Consider the following 23713-nt stretch of genomic DNA (forward strand, 5'->3'; position numbering starts at 1 on the left):
CCAGGACAAACTATTGAGTTAATGTGTGAGCAGCATTGGCCCCCGAGGAAAGATCTAGGTGAGTGTCTAGATTCACATGATTCCACGTCAAGGCAGAGGCTGTGCTTGGCAAACTGTTTAGTTTCTTTCCAGCTCCCCTCTGTTTGGTAGAGTAATGCTGCTTTTTGTTACAATGAAGAGGCTAACAGAAAAATCCATCATCTATTGCATGTAATTGTATAGGCCTAAGAAGGGCATGGTCTACACTATAGCTTCTGAATCCTGGGCTGTACCGGCATCGTCTAAGGCTAAGGTATTGTCTGCCTGACTGCCAGAATCTGTAGTGACAGCCCCACAACATGGCCAGCCACACACAGAGTGACACTGATGGTGCCCTTGTGTCCAGGCTTCAAGCAGATGAGATGCCAACATGTTTGTCCTTCAAGTGACCTCCACTAGGGGGCCAGGACCCATGAATATCTATTTGGAGTTCTACCCTGAGGGGTAAGGAATATTTTCTCACTTCATCTTGATCCTACCTGGATGCTTTTGCTATCATCACTGGCTCACAGTCTTGCTTACTTTCTAGCCCTGAGAGTTTAGGATAACCTGCTAAGCAGGTGTATTTGAAATGGGGGTATTAAAATAAACTCTTGGGAAAGTATTTTTAAAAAGACATATGCAGTCTTGTCCTAGAGATATATATTTGTACATTAGACTCATATTCCTGACATTATTCTGGAAAGGTGAGGTTATCTTATACACATTTATTGTCACAAATACTGAACTAATAGCCCTCTTTTATCACTCAGAAGGAACATGCTGGAAATAGTCTATCTCCAAAAAAATCTGGCTTTAAAAAGGATGAATTTAAGCCACACCAATTCATGTTAAATTGCCAGTAGATGGAAACTATGTTACCACAACTCACTGAATTGCTAACTTTTCTGTGAAAGAATTAAAACGAGGTTTGTATTTTCTGTTTCCATGTGACCATGATTCCTTACTCTTAATAACTGTGAAATTGAGTTAGAAGTAAAATGTGACAGGCGGGAAGCCTCCAGTACACACAGTAGGGAGTGACTCTTCTCTCCACCTGCTCTAGGATGCCAGGATCTCACTGGTGAGAAGATTCACCCTCTTCTCCTGCAACTTAAAGGGAAAAATGTAAAATCCAAATTCTGGTTTGGTAAGCTGGGTACAAACCATTGTCTATTAGATTATCCTCAATCAATGCTGTCCCTAAACCCTTCTTTCCACTAAAGATGAATGGGGGAGATGCTTATTTATTCCTTTATAGATCTGCAAAACATCCATCATAACCTCTATATGTTTGTAGCATCCAACACTTAAGCTACTTCTCCTTGAAAATCTTTTTTTTTCTTTTTTTTCTCTTTTTTTTTTTTTGAGATGGAATCTCACTCTGTTACCCAGGCTGGAGTGCAGTGGCATGATCTCAGTTCACTGCAACCTCCGCCTCCCAGGTTCAAGCAATTCTCCTGCCTCAGCCACCCAAGTAGCTGGGACTACAGTTATGCACTACCATGCCCAGCTAATTTTTGTAATTTTAGTAGAGATGGGGTTTCACCATATTAGCCAGGCTGGTCTTGAACTCCTGACCTCAGGCAGTCCACCTGCTCAGCATCCCAAAGTTCTGGGATGACAGGTGTGAGCCACCACGGCCAGCCTGAACATCCTTTTTGCTATTCAAAACAGATAAGGGAAAGAGAGGCCTGATTAGCACCCCAAGTCCAAGGAAACAGAGAAGAGGAGCCTGAACAGTTACTCACAGATAGAGGAGTATCAGGCTGACAGCCAGGAGAAGCCAGGTTTCCACGGCCAAGTTTGGGATGAGATCCATCACTACTTTCCTTCCTTATCTCTCTCCTCTGAGTCTTTTTTTCAGCAGCGTGCTGCTGTTTGCTGGGCTGTGTGTGTGGAGCTTTCCTGCCCTGCACAGCAGTGATTCAGTGAGGCTGTTGGATTGTTTATATGCTGGAGAAGGAGGCAGGGCTGGAGCTGCAGCCAGTAGCAGGGCCCCCGTGCTCTGCCTGCAGTCGGAAGAGGCTTCTCCACCTCGGCAGTTGGCAAATAATCACACACACACCACTCACTGACCTCCATTGAGTTAATATTCTATGTAGAATCATACACAACTCAATCAATGTTACTGGGGAGTCCAAGGGTTCTGGGTTCTTATCACAAACTCAAGTGGAGCCATTGGCATAAAATCTATTAACTCTCCTCTTGTCTCTATGGCTGTCCTCATTCCAGAATACTTGAAACTCATCCCAACAAGCCATGCCTACAGATCTTTACCTATGCCTGGAGTGTGCCTGTGCCCCCTAGAAGACTCCTACACATCCTTTCATACCCAGCCAGACAGAGCCTTCTCTTAGAGTCTTTCCTCACCAACCCCCTCACACAGAAGTAACCATTTCCTCCCCTGGGCACTTTCCATCCCCTTCATGCAGTTCTATTGTCTTCTTTCCTCTTTACCACCATTGTGTGTTTCCAGGCCTGTTTCCCTTAGCAGAGGTGAGCTCCTCAAGGGCATAGTCTGGTCTTACTCACTCTCATGGCTCTGGTCCCTATCAGGGTGCTGTACACACAGTGGGGACCAGAAAGGCTGGTGGAGTTGACTTGGCTGAGATTGCTGGGCCCCTGTGTGTCACTTCCTCTGACTTTCTGGTGACCACTCCATCTTCTTAGGTCATTAATACAGCCAGAGCTCTTGGCTGTGCCTCAGCTGCTGTCTCTGCACTTTCAGATTTGTCCTCTGTGATTCTGTTGGCAAGAGGACCCCTAAAAAAGAGACATGGCATGGATGAGATGGAGCTGATGGCTTAGTGGAATAGCATCAATTTGTGCTTCTTCCTCTGTAGCTTTCAAAAGTCCTGCCGTAGATAGAAAGTTAGACAGGTTCTTTGCCAAAGAGTGGCCCCTTCTCTCTGGAAATACTGCATGTCTGGAAACAGTAGGGGAGAAAGAAGAGAAGAGAACAGCTGCCCAGATGGCCAGGTTGACCCAAACCACCTCAGCCAGCAACAATGGGGCAGTGGTCACTGCAGGTCACACAGCATCAAGGACTCCAATGAGGTGGTCCCAGCCTCTTGAGGGTGGAATTGGAATTCAAAGCAAATGGCTTCCTTTTTGACAAGTGGAGGATTTTCTAATGGGAGGAGAGCAGGTGCCAGGAGCTGGTAGAGATGAGGCCTGTAATAACAGTTGCTGCCACCTGTGAGCCCTGTGACCCATTCCTGATGGGAGAGATCTCAGTGATGAGGGTGTGAAAATTATATCAGCTCATTATCATCACTCACACCCAAGTTCTGTGTCTGCTTGGCCTGAGAAATGGATTCCATGACAAACAAAATCTCAGAGTTGTTAAAACTCAGTAGAAACAGATGATGTTTAAGCTGTGCTTGTTCACTTCCTTCTCTCTTTATTCTTTCTCAGGTTCAGCACTCCTGCAGAAACTGATACTCACCCCAGAAAGACACCTTTTCCCATCCCTCTGGCCCCTAAGCCTCCAGGGCTGCTCGGCACCTGGCCTCAGCAGGTGAACATCATGCCAGATTCCTTGTCAGATTCAAGGCCAAGTGGGTGAATGTCATGTGCAGTGTTGTGCCAGGTATGTGCCGGGAGCCACATGTTCCTTGGGGACAGCCTAGTGAAGCAGGAGACAAATAAACATGCTTGGATGGAGGTATGCATGTGCTGTAACTCTGGAATCCCTGGAATAATGGAGCCCTACAGAGAGGTACCTAAGAAAAGAAGTGACAGCGTCAAAGCAACAAAGGACAGACACGGGTAGGTGGGTGACAATCCCCAGGAGAAGTAGGATAAAAGTCCAGGGAATTCTGGTACATTTCTGTCTCCTTTCAGTGGCTTCGCTGAGCACATTAAATAGGGCCATGCTACTATCCCCAGTTTACAGATGTAGAAACTGAGGCTCAGTGACTGCAAGTAGCTTCCCAACTGATACTGATCACAATAAAATATTATAAAAAGTTAACAGGAAGGGAGATATTAGGTCCTCTGCTGCTCTGGTGCACCTGCCATTCCTTGCTAAGCATCACTATGGCAAATAGTAAGACTCAAGGCTGCAACCAGAAATTGGTTGAGATTCGTGTTCCTGTCTCAAGGGTTACTCCCAGTGGCACCCCCTGGGTTTTCTAGAACAAAGGACTCCATCTCAGCAGGGAGAAAGAAAGATGCAGTTTCTGACCATATCAATGGCATTGCTGGAGGATCTCCCTCTCTATGTTGCCACACCGAGAGGTGCACAGAACACATTCTGACAAGTAAAGATTCCAGTGTCATCTGATAACTATCAACAACTTCATTAGCTCACCTAAACAAAGAGCCTTTCTTATTTTTTTAGAAACAAAACTCTTATGGAAACGATTATGTTTTCTTCTTTCCTCTAAAACACTTACTTGGCTAAGATGATTTTTATTCTAAGATGAAGATTTACCTGCCCTACAAACTTCAGGAGGTGGTGTGACTGGTTGGAATCTATACCAACAGTGATAGACTAATCGTTGCTTGGAATTCAAATGCAGCCAGCACTCTGTCCTAACTAATGAAATTGGTGTTGTTCTGCAAAGGAAAATAATTGAAGGCATGTTCTGCCACTTAATTCCACAGAAAGTAACATCTTCTAACATGTAGGGACTTGCCTACTGAGAGCTGCACTGACTGTGTCAAGGAAGATACTATGCATTGGAAGAACACCCAAGCAACACTTGCCTCTCCCCTACTCATTTCCTGTATTAAAGCATTCATCATGTTTTTAAAGCTGTGCTGTCAGTATTGTGCTCCCAGACATTATTCTTGGTCTTGGTCAACTTTGTACCCTAAGCACATGGAGAAGAGACAAATAAGCAGATAATTATAGGACAGCTAAGGAAAAATAATCATAAAATTGTGAGAAAAATCATGTCCTTATCAACAATGAAAGACGTTTCTTCTTTCTTGGTCTGGTTTCATTGGATCAAAGTTAAATCTCAACATTCAGAGAAGCATTAGGCTCAGATATCAGCATGAGTGGACAGGCTGTCCAGGGACTCAGTGATGCAAGGAACACCTTCACTCCGATATTTTCATCCTTTTATATTGGTAGTCCAAGTGGTACCTCTCTTCTGGGAAGCTTGTTCTGACTTCCAGTGGCCAAGTGAATTACTCGTGGTAGGCAGAAGCAACATTGCTCTGGAATGATTTGTGTATTAGATTCAAATTTCACAGGTCATGATCTTGAGGATGTAAACCAAAAAAAAAAAAAAAAAAAAAAAAGACAGATTATCTCTCTGTAACTCAGCTCTCAAGTCCCCATTCTTCTCAGTAGGGGAAAACTTGATTTTGCATGTTGGGGTGACCACGTGGTATCTAAGTTTTGTTTTTATTTATTTATTTTTGAAATTGTTTTGAGGCAGGGTCTCACTCTGTTGCTCAGGCTGGAGTTCAGTGCTGTGGTTATAGCTCACTGTAGCTTCCACCTCCTGGGTTCAAGTGATCCTCCTACCTCAGCCTCCTTAGTAGCTGGTACTACAGGTATACCACCATGCCCAGCTAATTTTTAGTACAGATGGTGTCTAGCTATGTTGCCCAGGCTCGTCTCAAATTCCTGGCCTCAAGTGATCCTCCTGCTGCTGTCTCCTAAAGTTCTGAGATTTCAGATAGGAGCCACCACACCTGGCCTTTAAGTTTTGGTGGCTGGAGGAGGGGATTAGCAATGCTTTCGGGCCTCATGCTTAGGGGTGGTGTTGAGGAGAGTGACAGGTCCATGGACATGTACTCTAGGCACTGGAGGAGGTAGGTGTCTCACTTCGATGCCACTGTATGTTGGTTAGTCTGTATGCCTGCTGTGTTCAGGGCATGTGGCAAGCACTAAATATTAAAGAATCAAAATCCTTGTCCTGATGAAGCTATCTCTCTAATAGGACAAAGAGATACTAAACAGTGACAAAAATAATACTGAATTACAAATTGGGAAAAATGCTATGAAGTAAAAGAACCCTTTACTTAAGCTCCCAGTGATATCAGACACAGTTGATCCTTCTTTCTTTCCTTAAACTCTCTCTCTCTTTGAAAGACATGAATACAACAGAATCAACAAGACTTGACAGATGGGAAGTGTGAGACCTTGGATATTCCTGGATCTGTTTCCTCATCTGTCCATGGGGGAAATTGACCAGAATTGGCCTATGAAGACCAAGGTCCTCCTTGTCCCAATCAGAAGACCCCTGCAGGACTGCCTGCCTCTCAGCCTCTGTGTCCCTCTAGGAGTTTTGAAGACATTCCCTGTCCTCTATTCTCATTCTCTTATAGATCACTTAGGGTCCACCAGGTCTTCCAGCCCAATCAAAGACCAACAGCTCCTACAGGCAGGAGAAGAGCAAAGGTGGGATAGGATGCAACTGGGAGAAGATAACCACCCATTTAGGCCCTGAACTTTAAATTATGGATGGGTTTCTTAACTGAGATTGCAGTGAAAGGGTTTCACACATTCTCACACCCACTCACACTCAGCTTTTACTCAAGGAAATGATAGTGAATACGTGTCATGCTAAGTATTTACCCTGCATTAACTGATTCAATCTGTCTAACAACCCATGGTATTGATGTTGTTATGATCCCTATTTTACAGATGAGCAAACTAAGCCACAGGAAGGTTAACTGACCCATCCAAGGTTACGTCACTAATTGCTCTAGCAGAGCCAGGATTCATATGTAGATTCTGTAGCTGGAGAGCCCAGGGTCATAATCTTTTGACATAAGCCCAGCCTTGCCCAAGGACACACAGAGTTAGTGGGGAACTAGCAATGCAGCTCAGGCCTTCTGAATGGGTAGTGGCCAGAGCTCTGTCCCATATGCTGGGACAAAATGAAGTCCCAAAGCAAACTTGTCAGTGAGGACTGGGGTGAAGCAATGTCCTTTCTTCTCCCTGCCTGCCCTTGCCCTGAAGTATATGCACTTCTGTAGACTTTACAACAAAAAAGAAGAGGAGCTCTCTCTCTCCTGCCACCTTGTGAAGAAGGTGCCTTCTTCCACTTTGCCAACTGCCATGATTGCAAGTTTTCTGAGCCTCCCCAACCATATGGAACTGTGACTCAATTAAACCTTTCTTTGTAAATTAAAAAAAAAGAAGAGGAGGAGGACTTAATCATAACTGTTTTCTTTCTACTCTATTCTGGAGTGTCTATTTCTTGATAAAGTAACCACCAACATCTCCATGGCACTTCATAATTTATACAGTTCTTTCCCAACTCTCCTAATATCAGCAAGAAAACTTTGTAAGATGAGTAGTATTAGGATGATTTAACTCATGCTTTATAGATGTGGAAACAGATAGTTAGAAATAGACTTCAGACGTGACTAAGCCATGAAGCCAGGGCATGGAGCAGGACATTGTGATTTCAAATTGCATCAGTGGTGTTCTTGCTGGGATTCCAAGAAGGCTCCTAAAACAACTTGGCAGGTTGTGTCAGCCACACATGAGATAAATATTTCTCTCTACACCTCCCAGCACACTGCCAGTGTAGTTATAAAATGCTACAGAGCTGGTTATGACCATGAAAACAACATGTGCATCCTACACTTTACTAAATTGTGTATTCAGTGAGCTCATGTTTCAGCAGAAAGGGGAATGTTGCAAATAATTCTGACATGTCACAATCAGAATCATTTGTGTTTCCAGGAAAGCAAAAAGTAAAAGGTGATGAAACCAACATGTAAAAGAGAAATCAAAGAATATGAGGCAAATTTCAGAAGAGCACGTGGAAGGGAATTAATGAAACAGGAAATTGGTGAAGGAAATGAAGATTGTCATGAGATGTGTTACAAAACATCAGCAAAACCTACACCATTTCTCATACTCCTTATTTCAGTAACCTCCTAGCTTCTTTTGCCTACCCTGGGCAGTACTTATCCAGGGAATTCCCTACTCAGCCACCAGACAGCATCTCAAAAAACATGGAATCTTAAAGCATGCTTCCTTGGCTTCAGTCCCTGCAACTGTTCCTATCACTCACAGGATAAAATCTAAGTATATCTAGGAAGTAACACAAGACCCTTTCTCATCTGGCCACTGTTAGCTTCTTCAGCCTGTCTCAGTCCACTTCTCCAACTGTACACGGTGTTTTAAGCAAATGGTGCGATTGGCTACTCCCCAGGCTCTGCAAAAATGATGTGTTCGTGTCTCCTTGTGTCCACACAAGCTGTTCTTTAGCATAGACTGGGTCCAACCCAGCTTCCATCTGGTGCATTCCTAACCATCCTTCAGGAGTCAACCAGGGCATCATCTCCCCAACAAGCCTCTTTCATGACCACAGCAAGCAAATGCTGGAGAGGGTCCCGCTGGTGCTTTCTCACAGTTTTAACAGCTGGACACACAGTGGCTGTCATCCCGGGATGCTCACAGAATTCACATGCATGAGGAGCTTTTAAAAACCACAGATTCACTGTGTGTGGAGGCACAAAACTGTAATCTCAGCACTTTGGGAGGCTGAGGCAGGCAGATCATGAGGTCAGGAATTTGAGACTAGCCTGTCCAAGAGATCACAATGGCCTATATTGTAAAACCCCGTCTCTACTAAAAATACAAAAATTAGCCAGGAGTGGTGGTGGATGCCTGTAATCCCAGCTACACAGAAGGCTGAGGCAGGAGAATCACTTGAACCCAGGAGGTGGAGGTTGCAGTGGGCCGAGATCAGGCCATTGCACTCCAACCCCAGCCTGGGAGACAAAGCAGGACTCCAACTCAAAAAACAAACAAACAAACAAACAAACAAACATAAAACCCACAGGTTCCTGGGCCTACCAGAAATGAGAAAGGGTTGCCTAGGAGCCTAACAATGAGGAGGCAGGGACCATTGAGGGCCATCTGGAGAGACTCCAAAGTGTCCCATCAATCCAGTTACATGAAAAAGAAGGCATCACACCCAACTCATTCAATGAGGGCCACATGATCCAAATCTGAAAAAAATCAGGACCGCAAAGGAAGATGACATGCCAGTCTCATTCATCGGCATCAGTGCAAAAATGCTGAACACAATAGTAGCAAGCCAGAGACAGGAGTGTTCAAAGATGATACACCATGACCAAGTTGAATTTAAACCTGAGACTCAAGAATAGTTAACAGAGAAAAAGTATAAATACCAATGATCTCATCAACAGATTAAAGGAGAATGATTATAAGATCATCTCAATTGTTTTAGGAAGAGCCTTTGCTAGTTCAATAATAATATATTAATAATACATGATAATATTCAACTCCCATTCATGATATAAAAAACCTTCAACAACTAACAGCAGTGAATTTTATTAATCTGATGAAAGCATCTACCAAAAAAAATTAGAGAAAACATTATTCTCAGCAGTATAAAAGCATTATCCTCTTATACCTTCTTGTTTACCATGTGCACAAATTACCTTTCCAAAACTAGTAACATCTTTAAAAAATCCTATCAGTTAACTTACTTTTTCTGTAATTGAAAAGAATATCATAGCTTGTCCTTGTCAGAAGTCCAGCTTGTGATTCACCTGGGGTCAGCATAGGGCAAGGTTTAATAAACACTGAAATAACTAAACATTGTAATGCCTCATGGGGCTGCTTGAACTGACATGATTTCAAGGGCACTGAGAGGCTGGGGGAAAGCAGAGGGTCAGCAAGTTCATTCAGCTGAGATTATCTCAGTTTACAAACTGGAGTTTATGAACTTTAGTTGGGACATGAGTTTCATTGATTATTGGAATGAACCATCTCTCGAGAATAAACCAGCATCCAGCATCGGGCATGAAGTTCCAAGAGGACCCCAGGGAGAGATGTTACTAGGAAGCTTGCCAAATCCTGTGACTTTCCAGGGGGCCTGCCCACCCAAGTGCAGCCCATGCCTGACACCCAGCCCTCAATGCCCTATTCTGATCAGTTACATGGTTATCTCCAGAACCATGGGGCCCTCTCTATCGGTGTGAATGGGTTGTCCACTCTGCCCAGTGCTGTGACACAACACAGGGGAACAGAACCATAAGGGAAAATGTGAACAAGACCTTCAAAGAACGAGTCATGCTGAGACCCAAGGTGGGGGTACTTCACCACACAGAGGGAACTGGGGAGACACCAGGAGCTCTGGGAAGGCAGAGATAAGGGGATCTGGAACTACCTGGTGTGAAGTATTCCTAAAGGAGAGACTGTCTGCATTATCATCAACAGAGAAGTGTTTGTATAGAAGAGGGGAAGGTGAGAAGCATTTCAGGCTGTGAGAATGGTTCAGCTTTTTTTAGTAATAAAAAAATAGAGAAAGTAGAAATTGCTTTTAACTTTGTGTATTGAATAAGTAAGGAATGGCGTCCCAACCGTTTTCTTTATTATTATTATTATTACTATTACTATTATTATTATTATTGTTTAGACAGAGTCTTGATGCATTGCCCAGGCTGGAGTGCAATGGCACAATCATGGCTCACTGCCACTTCAATCTCCCAGGCTCAAGCAATCCTCCTGCCTCAGCCTCCTGAGTAGCTGGGATGACAGGCATGCATCACCATGCCTGGCTAATTTTTTGATGTTTTGTAGACATGAAGTCTGGTCTTGAACTGACTTGTCTAGGATGGTCTTGAACTTGTGGCCTCAAGTGATCCTCCTTTCTCAGCCTTTCAAAGGACTGAGATTACAGGAATGAACCAGAGGCCAGCCACTTTATTATTAACAAGGTTCAATATTTCTGGATTTTTGATAGCTGTGTTTCTTCTTTGATAAAATGTTCATGTCCACTCAGCTCTGCACCCAGTGGACTGAATAGACATCTACAGAACTCCACACCCCAAATCAACAGAATATACATTCTTCTCAGCATCACATCACACTTATTCTAAAATTGACCACATAATGGGACATAAAGCATGCTCAGTAAATGTAAAAGAATGGAAATCACAACAAACTGTCTCTCAGACAACAGTGCAATCAAATTAGAACTCAGGATTAAGAAACTCACTCAAAACCACACAACTACATGAAGACTGAACAACCTGCTCCTGAATGACTACTGGGCAAATAACAAAATGAAGGCAGAAGTAAAGATGTTCTTGAAATGAATGAGAACAAAGACACAACATACCAGAATCTCTGAGACACATGTAAACCAATGTGTAGAGGGAAATTTATAGCACTAAATGACCACAAGAGAAAGCAGGAAAGATCTAAAATCAACACTGTAACATCACAATTCAAAGAACTAGAGAAGGAAGAGCAAACACATTCAAAAGCTAGCAGAAGGCAAGAAATAACTAAGATCACAGGAGAACTGAAAGAAATAGAGACACAAAAAACCCTTCAAATAATCAGTGAAACCCAGGAGCTGGTTTTTTGAAAAGATCAAAAAAATTGACAGACCGCCAGCCAGAATAATAAAGAAGAAAAGAGAGAAGAATTAAATAGATGCAATAAAAAATGATAAAGGGGATATCACCACCGATCTCACAGAAATACAAACTACCATCAGACAATACTATAAACACCTCTACACAAATAAACTAGAAAATCTAGAAGAAATGGATAAATTCCTGGACACATAAACCCTCCCAAGACCAAACCGGGAAGAAGTTGAATGTCTGAATAGACCAATAACAGGCCCTAAAATTGAGGCAATAATTAATAGCCTACCAACCAAAAAGTCCAGGACCAGATGGATTCACAGCTGAATTCTACCAGAGGTACAAAGAGTAGCTGGTACCATTCTTTCTGAAACTATTCCAATCAATAGAAAATGAGGGAATCCTCCCTAACTCAGTTTCTGAGGCCTGCATCATCCTGATACCAAAGCCTGGCAGAGACACAACAAAAAAAGAGAATTTTAGACCAATATCCCTGATGAACATTGATGCCAAAATCCTCAATAAAATACTGGCAAACTGAATCCAGCAGCACATCAAAAAGCTTATCCACTACAATCAAGTGGGCTTCATCCCTGGGATGCAAGGCTGGTTCAACATATGCAAATTAATAAATGTAATCCATCACATAAACAGAATCAACGATTAAAAAACCACATAATTGTCTCAATAGATGTAGAAAAGGCCTTCGACAAAATTCAACAGCCCTTCCTGCTAAAAACTCTCAATAAAGTAGGTATTGGTGGAACGTATCTCAAAATAATAAGAGCTATTTATGGCAAAACCACAGCCAAAATCATACTGAATGGGCAAAAACTTTGAAACCAGCACAAGACAACGATGCCCTCACTCATGACTCTTATTCAACATAGTATTGGAAGTTCTGGCCAGGGCAATCAGGCAAGAAAAAGAAATAAAGGGTATTCAATTAGGAAAAGAGGAAGTCAAATTGTTCCTGTTTGCAGATGCCATGATTGTATATTTAGAAAACCCCATCGTCTCAGCCCAAAATCCTTTTAAGCTGATAAGCAACTTCAGCAAAGTCTCAGGATACAAAATTAATGCGCAAAAATCACAAGCATTCCTATACACCAATAACAGAAAGAGAGCCAAATCATGAGTGAACTCCCATTTGCAATTGTTACTAAGAGAATAAAATATCTAGTAATCCAAATTAAAGGGAGGTGAAGGACTTCTTCAAGGAGAACTACAAACCACTGCTCAACAAAATCAAAGAGGACACAAACAAATGGAAGAATGTTCCATGCTCATGGATAGGAAGAATCAATATCGTGAAAATGGCCATACTTCCCAAGGTAATTTATAGATTCAATGCCATCCCCATCAAGTTACCAATGACTTTCTTCATAGAATTGGAAAAAAAACTACTTTAAATTTCATATGGAACCAAAAAAGAGCCCACATTCCCAAGACAATCCTAAGCAAAAAGAGCAAAGCTGGAGGAATCACGCTACCTGACTTCAAACTATACTACAAGGCTACAGTAACCAAAAGAGCATGGTACTAGTACCAAAACAGGGATATGGACCAATGGAACAGAACAGAGGCCTCAGAACAAACACCACACATCTACAACCATCTGATCTTTGACAAACCTGACAAAAACAAGCAATGGGGAAAGGATTCCCTATTTAATAAATGGTGCTGGGAAAACTGGCTAGCCATATGTAGAAAGCTGAAACTGGATCCCTTCGTTACACCTTATACAAAAATTAATTCAAGATGGAATAAAGACTTAAATGTAAGACCTAAAACCATAAAAACCCTAGAAGAAAACCTAGGCAATACCATTCAGGACATAGGCATGGGCAAGGACGTCATGTCTAAAACACCAAAAGCAATGGCAACAAAAGCCAAAATTGACAAATGGGATCTAATGAAACTAAAGAGCTTCTGCACAGCAAAAGAAACTACCATTAGAGTGAAAAGGTAGCCTGCAGAATGGGAAAAAATTTTTGCAATCTACTCATCTGACAAAGGGTTAATATCCAGAATCTACAAAGAACTCAAACAAATTTATAAGAAAAAAACAAGCAATCTCATCAAAAAGTGGGCAAAGGATATGAACAGACACTTCTCAAAAGAAGACATTTATGCAGCCAACAGACACATGAAAAAATGCTCATCATCACTGGCCATCAGAGAAATGCAAATCAAAACCACAATGAGATACCATCTCACACCAGTTAGAACGGCGATCATTGAAAAGTCAGGAAACAACGGGTGCTGGAGAGGATGTGGAGAAATAGGAACACTTTTACACTGTTGGTGGGACTGTAAACTAGTTCAACCACTGTGGAAGTCAGTGTGGCGATTCCTCAGGGATCTAGAACTAGAAATACCATTTGACCCAGCCATCCCATTACTGGGTATATACCCAAAGGATTATAAATCATGCTGCTATAAAGACACGTGTACCCGTATGTTTATTGTGGCACTATTCAAAATAGCAAAGACTTGGAACCAAGCCAAATGTCTGTCAATGATAGACTGGATTAAGAAAATATGGCACATATACACCATGGAATACTATGCAGCCATAAAAAAGGATGAATTCATGTCCTTTGTAGGGACATGGATGAAGCTGGAAACCATCATTCTCAGCAAACTATCACAAGGACAAAAAACCAAACACCTCATGTTCTCACTCATAGGTGGGAATTGAACAATGAGAACACTTGGACACAGGAAAGGGAGTATCACACACCGGGGCCTGATGTGGGGTTGGGGGCGGTGGGAGGCATAGCATTAGGAGATATACCTTGTAAATGATGAGTTAATGGGTGCAGCACACCAACATGGCACATGTATACATATGTAACAAACCTGCACGTTGTGCACATGTACCCTAGAACTGAAAGTATTATATAAAAAAAAAGATCCAAGTTTGATAGACAACCACTATCTCATCTCAGTTACATCCACTCCTTCCTCAGACTCACTAATAAAGTGCAGCCTTTGAATAAAAAGAAGTAAAGCAGAACCCCTTTTTTGTGTGTCTCAAAGCTGCAAAAGACGTCATGGGGAGTAAGAGCTAAGGTAGAGCCATGGAAAAACCCTTAGGGAATTTAGCATTTGTTGGAGATGATTCAAGCAGGTGCAAATGACCCAATGGTAAATACTTGATCTCCCTAATAAACTGAGTTTCAAAGCTGTCCAGGAGGAAGGGGGAAAAGGCTACTCATGAGCTCTTGCTACAGAGAAGAAAGTTTGACTCTCATGTACACAGATAACAAGCCACAATCAAGGGATCCTGTTCCGACTTTTAATACTAACAATGACTGTACTTTCCTGGGAACCTACACGGAGCAAAAAGAAAATCTTCTTTATGGTGTTCACAAAGTCTGCATATCAAGTTTTGAACATCAGGTTGCTGATCTACCTGAGATTTGGGCTGTTCAAATTAGGCAAATCTGAGGTTCCTGAGAGTTAGCAAGAGAGCCCCTGTGTAAACATTGCCATGCTCTGGGTGATGCCTACACACTGTTTCTGAAAGGGTAAAACCTCAGACCTTCCTTTTGCAGAGAAACATTTTTACTGATGGAACTAAGCTGCTGTTTGCAATCATAAGAAGCCAAAGAGTGAGCTCAAAAACACTCACTTGATGGTAGGACAAAGTAGTTCCCAAAAAAAGCAGAGGTCTGGGACCTGGAATGCCAAGATTTTTAAAAAGTCCATGTGAATGGGTTTCATATCTACAAAGTGAAACAGAAATCATGTCTCAAGGATTGTGACTTTATAGATATAGGGGATGGTGAGTTACTGACTGAGGAAATGTAATGCTCAGGAGAAGGAGGTAACATTAAGGCAATAAATAACAGTAACTCCGACAGCAATGATTATGTTTGTTCATCAGGTCCTTTCCTGCCTGCACTGTGACACCCCAAAAGTCACAGTGATTAGCTAAAAGCAGCTGAAGTTTTCATGGTCCCAATCCTGGAGTGAATACTTGATAAGTGTCCTCAAACATGAGTGCTCCTGAGAGGTTCAGGCAGGAATTCTTCCAGGGCACTTCATTCCTTTATGTCTATTTAGTAAGTGGACCCCACTGATTTAGGGCTTCTCATCCTAGGTAGAAAGGGTGACTTTTTTTTTTTGTCTTCAGCAGTAATGGTTAGATTTTGCATCGCTGCATCCACTCAGTCACAGAGGGTCACTGAGAGCCTATTGTGGCCCTGTCTTTAGAATTGCTCAAAGGCTTTTATGCTTTCCCTTTCTGCTAAGCTCTGACCCTGTTTTAGGATCTGGCCCTTCTTAAACTGTCATTCACAGAGAGGTCTTGGAGGAGTCAGAGTCCTTATTTCTACAGATTGACAACTGTGCTCCAGGCTTCTACTGGCCTCGTAGAAATGCGAGCACCTTTCAGCTACACCTCAGTCTCTGTGGTCAGATGATCTGGTTGATTTCAGCTATGGGGGAGAATGATTGACTCATATTGCCCTGAATGACAGTGTGCAGAAGAATCACAACTTAAGAAACCAATTTCCAGGACATTCCTCCTCTTGTGGAATCTAGCCTTCCAACTGGTGATATTCATCTGATAAGCACAGTGCCAGTGATATGGTCTGAATCTGTGCCCCTACCCAAATCTCATGTTGAAATGTAACCCCAAATGCTGGAGGTGGGGCCTGATAGGAGGTGATTGGATCCTAGGGGCAGTTTCTCATGGTTTCACACCATCCTGCCTTCGCTGTTGTCCTCGTGACAATGAGTTTTTATGAGATCTGGTGGTTTATAAGTGTGTGGCTCCTCCTCCCCACCCTCTCTTGCTTCTACTACAGCCATGTAAGATCCGCCTGCTCCTCCTTCACCTTCTGCCATGATTGTAAATTTCCTGAGGCCTCCCTAGAGGCAGAAGTCGCTATGCTTCCTGTAGAGCCTGCAGAACTATGAGCCAATTAAATCTCTTTTCTTTATAAATTACCCAGCCTCAGGTATTTCTTTACAGCAATGCAAGAAATGACTAATATATCCAGACATGCTCATTTTTTCAAGGTGATCAATCACAAAGCAGTCAGTTTATTGCCTCTGTACATTGACTATCTCTGTAGGAAAACCCATTAAGGCTGCTGCTCTTTATGGCAGGCCTGCTTGCAACTCATCTTTGATGGGTCATGTATGGACTCCCCCAACTGGGGGTTCTGGATGTCTGAAGACCTTCCCAGTCTGATGTTACTGAGGAGCGGAGGACTAGAGGAAGAAGAAAGGCTGATGGCAGACATCACCAGCCATCAATTCAACCGTGAATCTGCTAGTCCCACAAGGTTGGCCCCAGAGAGGCAAATTAGGAAAATGCAGCTGAAAAGTATGGTGTATATAAATGGATCCATATGCCTCATATGTGCTTTCAGCTGAAAGGCAGGGGCCTTCTAATGTCCATGTACCTTCCTGTTGATAGCAAAAGATGCAGTATTTTACATAAGTAACCATAAAATGTTCCAGATAGTTGAATTAAGACCTTGTTTTCTCTTCTATAACAGGTAGCACTTAAGGCAGTATAGGTTCCAAACATTCTGTACAAATCCAGTGACTCTGATAATATGTGGTAAAATACAACTGAGAAATGGCATGGAGGGTCGTGTTTGGAGATCCCAGCAGAGGCAGCATATAGTGCATTTGGATCCTTGCCCCAGAATAGTTAGTGGAAGTGTGTGCACCATCTACCAAAACCAGGGTGGCCTTGGGGTTTCCCACCCCAGTTTCTTCCTTTGTTGTCACAGCCATGGCAAATTAATGACACTAATCTCTGCTTCTAAACCTTCTACATGTTACATGATCTCTCAGGCCAGGACAAACTAATGAGTTAATGTGTCAGCAGCATTGGCCCCCAGGGAAAGATCTAGGTGAGTGTCTAGACTCACATGGTTCCATGTCAAGGCAGAGGCTGTGCTGGGCAAACTGTTTAGTTTCTTTCCAGCTCTCCTCTGTTTGGTAGAGTAATGCCACTTTCAGTTCCAATGAAGAGGCTAACAGAAAAGCCCGTCATCTATTGCATGTAATTGTGTTGGCCTAAGGAGGGCACGGTCTACACTATAGTTTCTGATTCCTGGGCTACACTAGCATCGTCTAAGGCTAAGGTATTGTCTGCCCAGCTGCCCGAGTCTGTAGTGGCCTCCCCACAACATGGCAGACCACACACAGAGTGACACATTTGATGTCCCTGTATCCAGGCTTGAAGCAGATGAGATGCCAATCTGTTTGCCCTTTGAGTGACCTCCACTGTGGGGCCAGGACCCATGAATATCTCTTTGGAGTTCTACCCTGAGAGCTGAGGAATATTTTCTCACTTCATGCAGATCCTATCTGGATGCCTTTGCTATCATCACTAGCTCACAGTATTGCTTACTCCCCTGCCTGAGAGTTTAAGGTAGCCTGCTAAGCAGGTATATTCAAAAAGGAGGTATTACAATAAACTGTCAGGCATGTATATTTAAAAAGACATATGCAGTCTTGTCTTAGAGATATACATTCATGTATTAGACTCATATTCCTGATATTATTCTGGAAAGGTGATGTTATTTTACACACATTTATTGTCACAAATACTGAACTAACAGCCCTCTTTTATCATCCAGAAGGAACATGCTGGAAATAGTCTATCTCCAAAAAATTCTGGTTTAAAAATGAATGAATTTAAACCATATCAATTTATTTTAAAATGTTAGAAAATGGAAACTATGTTGCCACTATTCACTGAATTCCTAAGCTTTCTGTGAAAGAATTAAAATTAGTTTTATAGTGTCTATTTTCATGTCATTGTGGTTCCCTGCTCTTAATAAAAGTCAAATTGAGGTAGAAGTTAATGGAACAGGTGGAGCCTCCACTACCCACAGTGGGAAGTAACTCTTCTCTCCACCTGCTCTAGGATGCCAGGAATCCCACCAGTGAGAGGGTTCATCCTCCTTTACTGTAACACAAAGGGGAAAAAATGTGTAAAATCCAAATTGGCTTTCACAGCTCCTGCCTTTTCAGGCTGCTAGCAGATTCCCATTAGGTGAGAAACAAAGCTCTATATTAATGCTAGCCTCCCAGAGACGGGAGGAAAAAGATTAAAGCAAAGAATAAATCTTCAAAACTTCCTCCAAGTCTCCTTTGCTCTGGAGATTAATCATTGCAAGGTAAATAGTTCTGTGTATGACAGGGTGGAGGAGTGAGTCATAGGTGGGAGGGGATGTTTTGGGACATGGCACAGGAAAGAGGGAAGAGCCGGGGGACAGCTTCCCGTGAAGTCTTGGTGTTCCCCGGTGCGTTATGTAAATGATATCCTGGGGTGGAAGTTGGGGGAGCAGGAACCACCAGGTCCACAGGGGACAAACTTCTACACATCTCTTCCAGCAGACAGAGAACCCAGAAAATGAAGGTAATGAGACAAAAACCCAAGCTGCTCCCTCCTGTCCCCAGAATCCTGAGAACCTGGGAAGGGGATGAGGATCACACTCCCCATCGTGTTCAGCAGTTTGTAATCTGCCTTTGCTGGGTTTTTGTTGATTAGTATAGGTCAAATCTAACCTAATCAGATCATTCCCACTACCAAATGCTGTCCCTAAACCCTCCTAGTTACCAAAATGAGAAGGTAGCTGGGACAAATGCTTATTTATTTATTCATAAATCTGCATAAGATCAATAATAACCTTTATGTGTTTGTAGCATCCAACAATTAATCTACTCCTCCTTGAACATCTCTTTTGATCTTCAAAACAGATAAGGGAGCAGGGGCCTGAGAGCACCCCAAGTCCAAGTTAACAGAGGAGAGGAATCTGGACAGTTACTGACAGATAGTGGAGCACCAGGCTGACAGCAAGGAGAAGCCAGGTTTCCACCGCCAAATTTGGGATGAGGTCCGTTGCCACTTTCCTTCCTCAACTGTCTTCTCTGAGTCTTACTTTCAGCTGTGTGCTGCTGTTTGCTGGGCTGTCTGCCTGGAGCTTCCCTGCCCTGCACAGCAGTCTTAGGACAAGCTGCTGAAATGTTTATGTGCTGGAGAAGGAGGCGGGGCTGCAGCTGCAGCCAGTAGCAAAGAATCACACACACCCCTTTGATGACCTCCTTTGAGTTCATGTTCTATGAGGAATCATAAACAACTTAATCAGTGTTATCAGGGAGTCCAAGGAATCTGAGTTCTTATCAGAAACTGAAGTGGGGCCATTGGTATGAACTCTATTTTTTTTTAATTTTATTATTATTATACTTTAAGTTTTAGGGTACATGTGCAAAATGTGCAGGTTTGTTACATATGTATACATGTGCCATGTTGGCATGAAATCTGTTAAATCTCCTCTCACCTGTCCTTGTTTCCATGGCTGTCCTTATTCCAGAATACTTGAAATCCATCCCCACAAGCCATACCTACAGATCTTTACCCATGCAATTCCCTCTGCCTGGAGTGTACCTGTGCCCCCTCGATGACTCCTACACATCCTTCCAAGCCCAGACAGACAGACCCCTTCTGTTAAAGTCTTACCTTACCAACCTCCTCACACAGATGTAACCATTGCTTCCTCTGGGTGCCTCCTATCCCCTCACAAAGTCCTATTGTCCTCTTTCCTCTCTAGCACCATTGTGGGTTTCTGTGCCCGTTTCCCTTAGCAGAGGTGAGCTCCTCAAGGGCACAGTCTGGTATTACTTACTTTCATGACCCTGGACCCTAGCAAGGTACTGTACACATGGTGGGTGACCAGAAAGGTTGGCAGAGTTGACTTGGGTGAGATTGCTGGGCCCCTGTGTGTCATCCCCTCTAAGTCTGTAGAAATAGACTAATTACTCTCAGCAATAGACTAATCGTTGCTTGGGACTCAAATGTAGCCAGCACTGTGTCCCAACTAATGCAACTGGTCTTGTTCTGCAAAGGAAAATAGTAGAAGGCATGTTCTGCCACCTAATTCCTCAGAAGGTAACATAACATGAAGAGACTTACCTGCTGAGAGTTGTACTGAATGTGTCAAGGAAGATACTATGTATCAGAAGAACACCCAGAGGCACCCTGTGCCTCTTATCTATTCATTCCTGTATTAAAGCATTCATCATGTATTTTAAAAGCTGTGCTCACAGTACTTAGGGTACAAAATTGACTAAGACCCAGACATTAGCTCAATTGTTTTGATTTGTAGATCCTGCAAATAAGTGAGAACATGCAATGTCTGTCTTTCTGTGCCTGGCTTATTTCACTTAACATGATGACCTCCAGTTCCATCCATGTTATTACAGATAACAAGATCTCATGCTTTTTTCGTATCTGAATTGTACTCCATTGTGTATAAGTGGAGCACTTTCTTTATCCATTCATCTGTTGATGGACACTTAGGTTGCTTCCACATCTTAGCATTTGTGAGTAGTGGCTATTGTGAACATGAGCGTGAAGATATCTCTTCAGTATACGGATATCCGTTCTTTCAGGTATATACCGAAGCACTGTGATTTCTGGATCTTATGGTAGCTTTCTTTTAATTTTTTGAGGAACCTCCAAACTGTTCTCTATAGTGGTTATACTAATTTACACCAACAGTGTACAAGGGTTTCCTTTTCTCCACATTCTTGCTGGCATTTATTATTGCCTGTCTTTTGGATAAAAGCCATTTTAGCTGGGGTGAGATGCTATCTCACTATAGTTTTTTATTTCATTTCTCTAATGATCAATGATGTTGAGCACCTTATCATATGCCTATGTGGCATTTGTCTGTCTTCTTTTGAGAAATGTCTATTCAGGCCGGGCGCGGTGGCTCACGCCTGTAATCCTAGCACTTTGGGAGGCCAAGGCGGGTGGATCACGAGGTCAGGAGATCGAGACCATCCTGGCTAACACAGTGAAACCCCGTCTCTACTAAAAATACAAAAAAATTAGCCAGGCATGGTGGCGGGCACCTGTAGTCCCAGCTACTCGGGAGGCTGAGGCAGGAGAATGACATGAACCCAGGAGGAGGAGCTTACAGTGAGCCGAGATAGTGCCACTGCACTCCAGCCTGGGCGACAGAGAGAGACTCCGTCTCAAAATTAAAAAAAAGAGAGAGAGAAATATCTATTCAAATCTTTTGCCCATTTTTTGATTGGATTATTAGATTGTTTCCTACAGAGTTGTTTGAGCTCTTTATATATTCTGGCTATTAATCTGTTGTCAGAATGTTAGTTTGAAAGTATTTTCTCCCATTCTGTGGTTTGTGTCTTCACTTTGTTGATTACTTTTTTTGCGGCACGGAAGCTTTTTAACTTGATGTGATTCCATTTGTCCATTTTTGCTTTGGTTGCCTGTGCTTGTGGGGTATTACTTCAGAAATTTTTGCCCAGACCAATGTCCTGAAGAGTTTCCACAATGTTTTCTTGTAGCAGCTTCATAGCTTGAGGTCTTAGACTTCAGTCTGTCTCACTCTGTTGCCCAGGATGAGGTGCATTGGAATGATCTCGGCCCACTGCAGCCTCCACCTCCCAGGTCCAAATGATTCTCCCACCTTAGCTTCTGGACTAGCTGGGACTACAGGAATGCACCACCATGCCCAGCTAACTTGTGTATTTTTTGGTAGAGATGGGGTTTCACTATGTTGGCCAGGCTGGTCTCGAACTCCTGACCTCAAGTGATCTGCCCACCTTGACCTCTCAAAGTTCTGCAAAGTACTGAGATTACAGTCATGAGTCACCCTGCTCAGCCAGATTTCAGCCTTTAATCCACCTTGATTTGATTTTTGTGTCTGGTGAGATATAGGTGTCTAGTTTCATTCTTCTGCATATTGATATCCAGCTTTCCCAGCACCATTTATTGAAGAGATGTTCTGTTCCCCAGGGTATGTTCTTGGTAGCAGTGTCAAAAATGAGTTCACTGTAGGTGTTTGCATTTGTTTCTGGGTTCTCTTTTCTATTTCATTGGTCTATGTGTCTGTTTTTATACAAGAACCATGCTGTTTTGGTTACTGTACCTCTGTAGTATAATTTGAAGTCAGGTAACATGATTCCTCCAGTTTTGTTCTTTTTGCTGAAGATAGCTTTGGCTATTATGGGTCTTTTGTGGTTCCATACAAATTATGGGATTTTTTTCTATTTATTTGAAGAATGTCATTGGTATTTTGAGGGATTGCATTGAATCTGTACATTGCTTTGAGTAGTGTGGACATTTTTAACAATGTTGATTCTCACAATATATAAACATGAAATATCCTTTTTTGTGTCTTCAATTCCTTTCATCAATGTTTTACAGTATTCATTGTAGAGACCTTTCTCTTCTTTGATTAAGTTAATTTCTAGGTATTTAGTTTTATTTGTGGCTATTGTAAATGGGATTACTTTTTTATTTTTGCCAGATTGTTCACTATTGGCATATAGAAATGCTACTGATTTTTGTATGCTGATTTTGTATCCTGCAACTTTACTGAATGTGTTTATCAGTTCCAATAGTTCTTTGATGGAGTCTTTAGGTTTTTCCAAATATCATTTGGAAATCGTTTGCAAGTCATTTGGAAATGTCATTTGGAAGTCATTTTCAAGTATCATTTCCAAAGATTACTTGGAAATTATTTGAAAATTTTCTTGCTTCCTGGCACAAAATGTGTCCTAAACTTATCTTGAACATTCTTAATTCTTGCCCTGGCATCAGCCATTTCTCTAAAGAGCTCTGGTTCCCTTCAGTGGAAAATGGTATTCATAAGCCAAGATCGGGGCACTAAGTGTGTTCATTGCTATTGAAATGTCATTGTTACCTAGCCCTATCAGTGGAGAGAAGTAGGGAATATATGTTTTTTGTACACACACACAAATACAGACATACATTTACATCTATCTATCTCATTATCTGTCATCTATCTGTTACCTATCTATCATCTATCTACCCATCTATCTATCTACAAGGGTATGAATATACACGGTTACATCCATTCCAATCTAATTTCATAGGATTCATGCTAGTTTTCTCCCTTTCTGAATCCATGACTCCCTTCTGCAAAGGTGAGAAGCCTGGCTTCTATCATCCTTAATACATTTACTTATTTGATCAATCCCCTTTATGTAGCCAAACCTCACCCAACCCCTCCCACTCATGGATGCCCTCCTCGCCTCATGTGGGTTCTCCATACCCTATTTAGGCTCTGGCTGCTCTTGCAAGCCACCCCTCTGCGTCGACCCCTTCTCTGCTTGCTTGGACTCCCACACCCAGGCCAGGATGTCTCTCCACATGAACCTCCTTGGTCTCTGACTTGGAGCCACCATGACTCTCTCTTCTCTACCTTAATGTGTGGCCACCATCTGGCTGCCACCCACCTAATGGCTTTAGGACTAAATTATTCAGGAAGGGAAAATAAAGGAAGAATTTGGAAAAGAAAAGGAATGAGTGCTTTTAGGCTTA

The 23713-nt window shown here is 42.5% G+C and overlaps 3 protein-coding genes and 1 pseudogene across 6 annotated transcripts in view, besides 21 other annotated features; 1 reads left to right on the top strand and 3 right to left on the bottom strand.

Moving 5' to 3' along the window:
• Positions 1-1943, bottom strand: part of CYP3A7-CYP3A51P (CYP3A7-CYP3A51P readthrough) — a 50520-nt gene extending 48577 nt beyond the window's left edge. The window contains exon 1 of the mRNA NM_001256497.3: positions 1770-1943. Within this exon, the coding sequence (NP_001243426.2) occupies positions 1770-1840 (71 nt within the window). The 5' untranslated portion in view covers positions 1841-1943. The remainder of the gene's footprint in view (positions 1-1769) is intronic.
• Positions 1-1943, bottom strand: part of CYP3A7 (cytochrome P450 family 3 subfamily A member 7) — a 30161-nt gene extending 28218 nt beyond the window's left edge. The window contains exon 1 of the mRNA NM_000765.5: positions 1770-1943. Within this exon, the coding sequence (NP_000756.3) occupies positions 1770-1840 (71 nt within the window). The 5' untranslated portion in view covers positions 1841-1943. The remainder of the gene's footprint in view (positions 1-1769) is intronic.
• The window catches only part of ZSCAN25 (zinc finger and SCAN domain containing 25), a 121090-nt gene extending 116308 nt beyond the window's left edge, over positions 1-4782 (top strand). For all 4 annotated transcript variants that reach the window (XR_927402.3, XR_007059989.1, XR_007059990.1 and 1 more), the window contains one exon: positions 3439-4782. The gene's annotated coding sequence lies outside the window, so the exon portion shown is untranslated. The remainder of the gene's footprint in view (positions 1-3438) is intronic.
• Positions 1840-2082: a promoter, noted in NCBI's record as "-140 bp promoter construct". NCBI's record gives the evidence for it as "EXISTENCE:reporter gene assay evidence [ECO:0000049][PMID:11495920]".
• Positions 1840-4853: a promoter, noted in NCBI's record as "-2.5 kb promoter construct". NCBI's record gives the evidence for it as "EXISTENCE:reporter gene assay evidence [ECO:0000049][PMID:11495920]".
• Positions 1840-11252: a biological region, named in NCBI's record as "CYP3A7 5' regulatory region". NCBI's record gives its function as "regulatory_interactions: CYP3A7".
• Positions 1967-1972: a TATA box. NCBI's record gives the evidence for it as "COORDINATES:motif similarity evidence [ECO:0000028][PMID:11495920]".
• Positions 1978-1997: a protein binding site, noted in NCBI's record as "BTE". NCBI's record gives the evidence for it as "EXISTENCE:protein binding evidence [ECO:0000024][PMID:1562592]".
• Positions 1979-1998: a protein binding site, noted in NCBI's record as "BTE". NCBI's record gives its function as "positive regulation of promoter activity" and the evidence as "EXISTENCE:protein binding evidence [ECO:0000024][PMID:11495920]".
• Positions 2008-2036: a protein binding site, noted in NCBI's record as "E-box; -90 to -63". NCBI's record gives its function as "positive regulation of promoter activity" and the evidence as "EXISTENCE:protein binding evidence [ECO:0000024][PMID:11495920]".
• Positions 2062-2081: a protein binding site, noted in NCBI's record as "-136 to -117". NCBI's record gives its function as "positive regulation of promoter activity" and the evidence as "EXISTENCE:protein binding evidence [ECO:0000024][PMID:11495920]".
• Positions 2062-2081: a protein binding site, noted in NCBI's record as "-136 to -117". NCBI's record gives the evidence for it as "EXISTENCE:protein binding evidence [ECO:0000024][PMID:11495920]".
• Positions 2088-2118: an enhancer, noted in NCBI's record as "ER6-JMP". NCBI's record gives its function as "functions as an enhancer when multimerized" and the evidence as "EXISTENCE:reporter gene assay evidence [ECO:0000049][PMID:10403778]".
• Positions 2088-2118: a protein binding site, noted in NCBI's record as "ER6-JMP". NCBI's record gives the evidence for it as "EXISTENCE:protein binding evidence [ECO:0000024][PMID:10403778]".
• Positions 3103-4302: an enhancer, noted in NCBI's record as "MED14-independent group 3 enhancer chr7:99333979-99335178 (GRCh37/hg19 assembly coordinates)". NCBI's record gives its function as "activates an origin of replication core promoter dependent on BRD2, BRD4, P300/CBP and CDK7 cofactors, and independent of MED14, by STARR-seq in HCT116 cells {active_cell/tissue: HCT116}" and the evidence as "EXISTENCE:reporter gene assay evidence [ECO:0000049][PMID:35650434]".
• Positions 3400-3411: an enhancer, noted in NCBI's record as "GRE-1.4 (DR0)". NCBI's record gives its function as "mediates induction by dexamethasone" and the evidence as "EXISTENCE:reporter gene assay evidence [ECO:0000049][PMID:22253426]".
• Positions 4613-4853: an enhancer, noted in NCBI's record as "-2.5 kb to -2.25 kb enhancer". NCBI's record gives the evidence for it as "EXISTENCE:reporter gene assay evidence [ECO:0000049][PMID:11495920]".
• Positions 4648-4677: an enhancer, noted in NCBI's record as "NF-kB element". NCBI's record gives the evidence for it as "EXISTENCE:reporter gene assay evidence [ECO:0000049][PMID:11495920]".
• Positions 4648-4677: a protein binding site, noted in NCBI's record as "NF-kB element". NCBI's record gives its function as "positive regulation of transcription" and the evidence as "EXISTENCE:protein binding evidence [ECO:0000024][PMID:11495920]".
• Positions 5769-5780: an enhancer, noted in NCBI's record as "GRE-3.8 (IR0)". NCBI's record gives its function as "mediates induction by dexamethasone" and the evidence as "EXISTENCE:reporter gene assay evidence [ECO:0000049][PMID:22253426]".
• Positions 6495-7007: an enhancer, noted in NCBI's record as "OCT4-NANOG hESC enhancer chr7:99337371-99337883 (GRCh37/hg19 assembly coordinates)". NCBI's record gives its function as "activates a minimal SCP1, AML or CMV promoter by ChIP-STARR-seq in primed H9 embryonic stem cells {active_cell/tissue: H9 hESC(primed)}" and the evidence as "EXISTENCE:reporter gene assay evidence [ECO:0000049][PMID:30033119]".
• Positions 6847-6865: an enhancer, noted in NCBI's record as "GRE-4.9 (ER7)". NCBI's record gives its function as "mediates induction by dexamethasone" and the evidence as "EXISTENCE:reporter gene assay evidence [ECO:0000049][PMID:22253426]".
• Positions 8190-8208: an enhancer, noted in NCBI's record as "GRE-6.2 (DR7)". NCBI's record gives its function as "mediates induction by dexamethasone" and the evidence as "EXISTENCE:reporter gene assay evidence [ECO:0000049][PMID:22253426]".
• Positions 9424-11252: a transcriptional cis regulatory region, noted in NCBI's record as "-9302/-7479 XREM-like element; NheI/SpeI fragment". NCBI's record gives its function as "mediates response to xenobiotics" and the evidence as "EXISTENCE:deletion mutation evidence [ECO:0005510][PMID:11162490]".
• CYP3AP2 (cytochrome P450, family 3, subfamily A, polypeptide 5 pseudogene 2) lies at positions 14996-19238 on the bottom strand (annotated as a pseudogene).

This window comes from Homo sapiens, chromosome 7 (assembly GCF_000001405.40).
Source record: "Homo sapiens chromosome 7, GRCh38.p14 Primary Assembly".
NCBI classification, from domain to species: domain Eukaryota; kingdom Metazoa; phylum Chordata; class Mammalia; order Primates; family Hominidae; genus Homo; species Homo sapiens.